Here is a 9,271-nt window from a genome sequence, read left to right on the forward strand (position 1 = left end):
TGGGAACAGGATCTCAAAGAGATATTTTTACACCTATGTTCATTGTAGAATTATTCACAATACTTAAGAAGTTGAAGCAACCTAAATGTCCATCAGTGGGTGAATCGTTAAAGAAAATGTTATATACATATAATGGAATATTATTCAACCTTAAAAAAGGAAAGGAATTCTGACACATACTACAACATGGATGAACATTGAGGACATTATGCTAAGTGAAACAAGCCAGCCACAAAAACACAAATACTGTATGATTCCATTTATATGAGGTAACTAGAGTAATCAAAATCATAGAGGCAGACAGTGGAATGGTGGTTACCAAGGACTGGAGGTAGGGGACAGTGAGGAGTTATTGTTTAATGGGTATCAAGTTTTGGTCTTTCAAGATGAAAGGAGTTCTGGAGATAGATGCTGGTGATGGTTGCACAACAACATTGATGTGCATAATATAACTGAACTGAACATCTAAAAATGGTTAAGATGGTACATTTTATGTAATATGTATTTTACCATAGTAAAAAAAGTAAGGGCAACAGATGGAATGTAATTTCCCCACTACTCTAATTTATACTTCATCTTACCCTTATGTTTAATTTTGTCAACTTTAGTGGATTTTTTTAATGTGGTCCTTTAAGGAAAGATATCTACCTATGCTCTTGAAAATCATTCATATTACCTTTGTGGGAATACTGGTTCCCAGAATTACATATATCCCCATGACTGTTGGGCACCAGTTAGCCTCCAACTATTGAATTTAGTCAGAGGGAAAGAAGGGCCAACACAAATGATCTCCAAGTATATCAAAGGATAAAGAACTGGAATCCAGAAACTTAAAGGCCTACTTAAAATAATTTATATTTTCTGATCAACATTGAATGTCAATTAGTTGCTTGTTTTTTCCCCAAATCTCTGTGTTTTCTGTTTTACAATCGACAAACTAAGACTCAGACTTCTTGGTGAATATTACTGACACATCAACTCATTTTCATTTAGAATCCTGTTGTTTAATGGCTATATCTGAGCTAATTAAAAGTAGAAACTCTCAATCTATGTACCTTTGAATTATTCTCAGCATTGGGCACTGTACTTAGCATATACTCAGTGTTTAATAAACACTTATTAAAGGAAGAAATGTTCTAATAGGACATATATGATGTGTCCTGGTTATCTTTCTGATCTGGTTGAGGTATTTTAGTATATATTATCTAATTTTTAAAAATCTACTTGGCAGGGTTAAAGACTTTTTAGGCCATCTACATATATTTGCATCCCACTGTTAAAAGAAAAACTTTAGACCAATTAAATTTAATAGAGTTTAATTGAGCAAAGAATGTTTACAAATCAGGCAGCCTCTAGAACTGGAACAGGTTCAGAGTGACTCCAGGGCTTCCACATGGTTGGATAACATTTATAGTCAGAAAAGAAAAGTGATGTACAGAAAATATAACTGAAGTACAGAAATAGATGAATTGGTTAAAACTGAGTGTTTATTTGAACCTGGTTTGAATAGTTTGGCTACCTGTGGTTGACTGAAGTTGGGCTGCCATAATTAGCTGAGAATCATATACTTATTACAATGGTAAGTTTCAGGCTGCTTACACATCAGGTTGGGTTATAATTCATTATATACGGAGAAACCCTTGGGCTGAGCTTAAAATAGGTAAGAAGGCTGCTTTAGGCCAAACTTACTATAACACCACCATTAAAAAATAAAAGATAATAAAATAAACTCTTGTAACTCTTTTCCTGAGACCTTAGATAGGTGTTTGGACTTAGACTGCCATTTCACAGGTTTTCCAGTTCTGGCTAATTTTTTGCATTTTGTTATAGATTTAAATCCAAAAGAGAAGAATGCTTTTGCTTCTTTCTTTTTTCATTTTGATTAGTTTCTCAAACACCTGGAAGACTAATGTAGACCACCCAGAGGAACAAGATCTGAAACTTACCAGCAGCTCATGATAGTGCAAGACCAATGATTGAGACTATAGATCTGAATTATTATTCCATCTCTGCCATTATGTGGCTGTAATATTGAACATGTGACTTAACTTCCCTGTATCTGTCTTTATTTACTATGAGTACTATGAAGTTCAAAACAAATAATGCATTTTTTAAACTTTGCACTTCAAAAAATATAAAACATAATGCAAGTGTAAAGCATTGTTACAAAACAAACTTTTATGAAGTAGAGTCTTACAAATTAAACAAAATCTTATGGGTCCTTACGACCACCCACACTGCCATCTGCAAAAGAAAGGAGAAGCTCTTTGTTTTGTTTAATTTTGTTGCTGTATTCTTTGGCAAAAGCAACAACATGTCTAGCTGCTAGAGCCATAATAGAAGCAACAATGGTAACAGCAGTCTCTGTTCAGCAATCAACTATATCTATAAAATATAGCACCAGTCACCAACAGTTAAAAACTCACACTAAAAATCTATGTGCTTAGTTTTCCCTTACCTACCTCAGATTGTCTGCTAAGCATATGGGATGGAACATCTGAGTGTTTAAATAATTTGATGAGGCAGAACTTTTAGAACAACTGCCCTCTTTTCCCATAATATGAAAGCCGCATCCTTATAATAATCTTCCATGAATTCTTCCTAGAAAATTAATCTCGTGGAATATTGCTGGATGGCACATTTCCTCATTATTAGCCTTTCTAAGAATATCTGAAATAACAGATTTCTTAGCCTGACCTGTTTGGATTGCAAATGATGGAAACCCAACTCAAGCCAGCTTGACAAAAAAGGGAATTTAATGTCTCAATTTTGAAGTTCAGGATTCATGTCGCACTGGCCTATTCCTGTGGCATCATACTTCCACATAATTAATTTCACAGTAACAATGTGACATCACTGAACATGGAGTTGGGAAGAGAGTTGTACAGTTAGCTTTTGAAAATTAGGACAAACCAAGTCCAGCATATGTCTACCTATATGCTAGGCATGGTGCTTTGTGCCAAAGCTATGGAGTTAAGTAAAACATGGTCCCTTTCCTGACATAGGGAATTAGAAGGGAAGAAGGGGGCTCTGTAACATATATTTCAATATCCAGATGCCAGGTACTCAATTCCGTTCTCTATTTGTTATAAGAACTTACCGGATGCCAGGTACTCAATTCCATTCTCTATTTGTTATGAGAGCTTAGACTCTGAATCCATACTACTTGTGCTTAAATGCCAGTTCTACTATTTATTAACTGTTAGATCTTCAGCAAATTACTTAACCTCTCTGTGCCAGTTCCCTAATCTAGAGAAAGGGGATAGTAGTAGCATCTCCTTCATAGAGTTGTTTTGGGAATGAAATCAGTCTATACATGCAAAACAGAATAAATTCTCATTCATGGTGACTTCTTATTAAAGATTGGCTATTGATATATTTTTATTGCCATTTTTCTATTTTCATAAAAATCTCTTTGATTTGTGGGTATCAATATCTCCAGTGAAGAAACTGAGAGGTTAAATGACTTGCCCAAAGACACATATAATATATAATATGATTAAGCTGGTATTTGACTCTAGCTCTATATAATTACAAGTCTCATATGGTTTTACGTCCACACCAGTAACACAGGACTGTTTATCATATGCCTATTCTGAACCACCTACAATACTAGGAGCTTTAAATATATTTTCTAGTGTATTATTTACAACAGTACAATGCATCAAAATTTTCTATTTCTGCTTTGCATATAAGATAACAGGGAATCAGAGAGGCTAAGTAATTCCTGTGGCTATACAGTGAGCTGGGATTTAAACCAAGTCTGCCAGATTTATAGAAATGTGTTCTTAATTACTCTGCTAAATGACTTACAACTATTTTAACCATTATTTTGAGTCATGTTTCTTCATTTTACCCTGAAATAGGATGTGGTACATTGGTAACATGGTAGGTGCGCTACAAGAGATGGGAGTATAATACATATCAGCAATGTAATGAGGAGAGGGAGTGAGATTTGATTTTGTTTTTTCTTATAGCAGGAGCAGAGAATCCTTCTCTGGATCTTGTTAGATAAATTGTAAAAGACTGATGGGGGTGGATTGTGCATTTCTTGCAAAGGAGACAGCCTGAAGAAAAGCACAGAGGCTTGAGAGCATGCCTATGTTTGGTGAATGGCAGCAGACCAGAGAGGTATTATGGGATGAACAAGTGAAGATGGAAAAGTTGGCCTTGATCATCGAGGGTTTTCAAGCACATGCTAAGGAATTTGGACTTAATTCTATGGTACTAAAAAGGCACTGAAATTTTTTGAGAAAAGGAATTTAATGAACTGGTTTTTATTTAGAAAAACTAGGCTTGTAGCAATATGTAAGGACAGACTGGAGCAGCGGGAGACTGAAGCCAGAAAGATGAGTTATATGTTATTCCAATAGCTTATGCAAGAGATTATGTAAGCTAGAATTAGGGAGGGGTTTGAGAGCAATAGATGACTTTGGGAAATACTTAGGAAGTATTGTTAACAGTATTACCTCTGCTAATTAAAAAATAACTCAGCATACAAAGTAACAACATTTTAATGCAACAGATCGGTATTGACTAGAAGACTTTCAGAAGTCTGTATCAACCAGCTACTAGAAGTTTTTCAAAACTTACTATTTGCCGTGTGCCATTGCAAGCCTTTTACGTGCATTATCAAGTAGTTACTATTATATCTCTAATTTGCAGATGAGAACAAGAAAGATCGGAGAGGCCAAACAATTTGCTCAGTTACACAGTTAGAGAGTGACGAAGCCCACACTATTTTCCTAGCAACTCACATTATACACAAATCAACACATTGATTTAGGCCAGGACCTTCCTCTCTGGTGTAGATGGTTGCAATAGCTTCTCAGGTGGTCTTTGTACTTCTACTTCCTACCTATCTCTTCTTTACTGATCAGCTGGAATAATATTTTTGAAAACATAAACAAAAGTCACTCCTCTGCTCAAAATCTTTGCACGGTTTCCTGCTGTACTTGGAATACAACCCCAAGTCCTTTCCTAGGGCACTAGCCTTGTATTGGCCTTGATCACTGCTCCTGCCCACCTCATACCACTTGTCATTTGGCCATTATAGTCCAACAACATCCACTCATCCGCTTTCTCGCAGGCCCTGGAATATTCTAAGCACTTTCCCATCTCAGGGCGTTGTGAATGCTGTTTCCTCTACCTGCTCTCATCCTCCCACTCTTTATCAACTAAGTTCTCACATACACATGTTTGATCTCAAGCTGTGTGTGTTTACTTGTTTGTTATTTGAAGCACTATGCTGAGCCATAGTGGAATCTGAGGTAAAAGGAAAAATAAGTAATATTGACTCTGAGTTTATGTAATATTTTGATTTTTTCCCATGAAGGAATTTTGCATTAATTTTTATTTTAAAAATATTGTATTAAAATTTTATTTATCTTGATTACTGAGTATTTTGGTGTCCCCTTAAAATTCTCACCAAAGACAAGTGCCTCGCTCACCTCACCCTTTTTCCAGTACTGGTCATTGTCTGTCCCACCAAACTGTAAGTAAACTTCAGGGGTTCAGGGACTATGCCTGTTTTGTTCACTACTATACTCATTGTGTGCGACAGATTGTCATGGTGAAGCAACAAATGAAATTTGTTGAATCATTGAATGAAATGTTAGGGATTTCACCAGTAATGTTCAAATGTATCATCTCATTTCATCATCATGGTAACTCTGTGATTTGGGTATTCTCTCCTGTTTGTAGATGAAGATAGTGATGCTTAAAGATGTTAAGTAACTTGGCCAACGTAGATACACAATTAATTAGTATATCGCAGAGGTAGAATTTGAATCCAAGCCTCTGATTTTACATCCAGGTATTTTCTACTACACCAGCTCCTGTCTGAAGGTTTATTTAAACAAAGGCTGAGTAGACATTAATCAGGGCTGCAGAAAGAAGTTCTGGATTTTACAGGAAGCTGGATGAGTTGACTTCAAGTTCTTTTTAGATACTTAATATTTTTTAATTCTATGATCACTACCTTATAATAAGCCGATTAGAACTTGGTAAAATCAGTTTCTTAATTTGCAAAATGGGAATAATAGTATGGATCAAACTGAGTTGTTTAGAACGTTAAATAGAATGGTCTGTGTAAGTTGCCTAATACAGTGTTTGTTATAGAGGAGGTGGCAAATTTTAGTAATTAATTGTAATAATAACAATAAGCAACTTAGGTGAGAGTGAAAACCCTGGAAATGTGGAGCAAAATAACTTCTCTTTCACTCTGTTTCCATGGAAAGTGCCGTTTCTCCAGTCGGAAGAAGAGAGTTAGACTCACTGTCTCACTTCTGTACTTGCCTTCCTGATGGGAGGTGGGCCATTCAATCTTGTTTTGAAGTTGAGGATCTTAAGGCTCTGAGAACAACTTCCAGAATCTCCTAGTTTTTGCCTAACACTCCTAGCTTCTTTATTTTTCACGTGGAAGTAATTCTAATAGACTCCAACCTGGTTCTTTCTGGTCCTTCTTTTCTAGTCACCCAGATGGCCTGACACTTGAGAGGGACACGGAATAAGCACCATCTTACAAAGATATTCTTTCCATTAAAAGCAGCATTACCTAGAAAACACATGGCCGAGGCAGTGGGAGTAGGGGGAGAAGAGCGATGTTTTATCTCCTGACAGTAAAGTCACAATGAGTGTTTCATGAAAGAGGATATGGTTTCAATCAGCTGAGGTTGCATGTGGGAACCTCCTGGCTCCTCTCTTTCACTTTTTCTTATGCCAGAATCTTACTGCAAAAAGGCTGAACCATGCCACTGATAGAATTTTATCCAGTGTAGTACTCACCCCTGGGGTCAACTTCATAACTTCTAGCATGATGTGGATCTCATAGCAAGCACCCAATAAACACACGTTGAGTGACTGATAAAACATAAGTCTATAACAGACAACTTTACACACATGCTCACAGATTTACAGTCCTCTGGTGTGAGACATGTGTTTAGACACTTTCTCCTTTGGGTTCCTTTTCGTATTTTTGTCTTTCACTTTTCTGGTTCATCTGTTACACCCCCTCCCATTTTTACATATACTCTCACGTGCGTGCATGCGCGCGCACACACACACACACACACACCCCTCAGGATCAAAAAGATATGGAGATATAATAAATCAGTTTTGCTTATATTAAAAGCAAACTGAAGACTAACAACTTTCTCAGCAAAATTTCTCATTCTGCCGCTAGTCCATTTGTTTTGAAAATGCAAACAAGGCTTAACTGAGTTTGCTTCATTATCTGTACAATTTAATATTCTGTATCATTTTTAGGATGAGTTGGTAAGACATAGCTGCCTCTTCAAACCTGAGTGAAGCACACAGAGGAGCAAGTTCTGAGACTGGGAAGTAAATAGAGGGAAAATGAGGTGAAAATATGTATAGGCTGGATATCCCTTCTCTGAAATGCTTGGGACCAGAAGTGTTTTGAATTTTGGACTTTGGAATATTTGCATTATACTTACCAGTTGAGCATCCCAAATTTGAAAATCCTAGATCCAAAATGCTCCAATGAGCATTTCCTTTGAGCACTAGGTTGGTGCTCAAAAGTTCTGGATTTAGGGGCATTTTGGATTTTGGGTTTTTGAATTTAGGATGTTCAATATATTTAAAAGGGGTGGCAAGATAGGTCAAAGACAGAATGGCACAGCATAGAAAGATAAATGGAAAAACAAGGTATTATTTATTCAGCTGCCATTGCTAAAGACTGTGTGATGTGACAGGCAAGCCAAGAAACCCACCATGTATTTTATATCACAGTGAATACAAGTATCTATCTAGTAGCGATGGGATGCAGTGGAGGGTATTTAAGATAATATGAAGGCTGTATTATCACTTGGGCAAACAGGAATGGGAGACTCCAGTGTGTGTATAACTAGGGAGTTCAGGAAGTCAGCAACTTGGAGATCCACCAGTGAATAAGTACATGTGCCCCAAGTTTTGAAGATCAGGCACTTGAAATGGAGTGACTGGTGAGATCAAAGCATGCCCCAGTCTTGCTGGGAAGTGCACTGTAGCCAACTACAAAAACTGATCACAAATTATTTTCATCTCATTCCCTCTACCCACGCCCTTTGAAATGTAAAGATTGCAGCTCCTCCCATCTATTCTTCACCCATTCATTGGACTTATTTTGTCTAATATGTTGCAAGTAGGTGCTTGAAAATGACTTGCTTATTGGGGCTTGTCTTTTCTCTTGCTGTTGTTAGAAGTCCTGCTGTCACCACCATTTGATAATTTCCAGGCTAGCCTATTGTGTGATGAGAGATATACACTTTAATCACCCTCATCACTCAAGCTAGCAAACATCAGCCTACCATCAGAAGCAGAACCATCTTGAGAGGTGAAGCCAGCTGGGCTTCTAGGTCTGGTGGGGACTTGGAGAACTTTTCTGTCTAGCTAAAGGTTTGTAAACGCACCTATCAGTGCTCTGTGTCTAGCTAATCAGGTGGAGACTTAGAGAACTTTTCTGTCTAGCTAAAGGATTGTAAAAGCACCAATCAGAACTCTGTGTGTAGCTAAAGGTTTGTAAACGTACCAATCAGTGCTCTGTGTCTAGCTAATCAGGTGGGGACTTAGAGAACTTTTGTGTCTAGCTAAAGGATTGTAAATGCACCAATCAGCACTTTCGTGTCTAGCCAAAGGATTGTAAGTGCACCAATCAGCACTCTGTCAAAACGGACCAATCAGCTCTCTGAAAATGGACCAATCAGCCATCTGTAAAATGGACCAATCAGCAGGATGTGGGTGGGGCCAGATAAGGGAATAAAAGCAGGCCACGGAGCCAGCAGCCGCAACCCACTGGGGTCCCCTATCCACGCTGTGGAAGCTGTGTTGTTTCCTTCTCCGCAATAAATCTTGCTGCTGCCCAGTCTTTGGGTCTGCTCCACCTTTATGAGCTGTAACACTCACTGAGAAGGTCTGCAGCTTCACTCCTGAAGCCGGTGAGACCATGAACCCCCCAGGAGGGACAAACAACTCCGGATGCGCCACCTTTCTGAACTGTAACGTTCACCACGAAGGTTTGCAGCTTCACTCCTGAGGCCAGCGAGACCAAGAACCCACCAGAAGGAAGAAACTCCGAACACATCTGAACATCCGAAGGAACAAACTCTGGACATACCATCTTTAAGAACTGTAACACTCACTGCGAGGTCCGTGCTTCATTCTTCAAGTCAGCAAGACGAAGAACCCATCAATTCTGGACACAGTCTAACTCAGTGATGCCAACCTTTTTGACAGCAGGGACTGGTTTCCTGAAAGACAATTTTTCCACAGA

This window comes from Homo sapiens, chromosome 1, assembly GCF_000001405.40.
Source record: "Homo sapiens chromosome 1, GRCh38.p14 Primary Assembly".
NCBI lineage: Eukaryota > Metazoa > Chordata > Mammalia > Primates > Hominidae > Homo > Homo sapiens.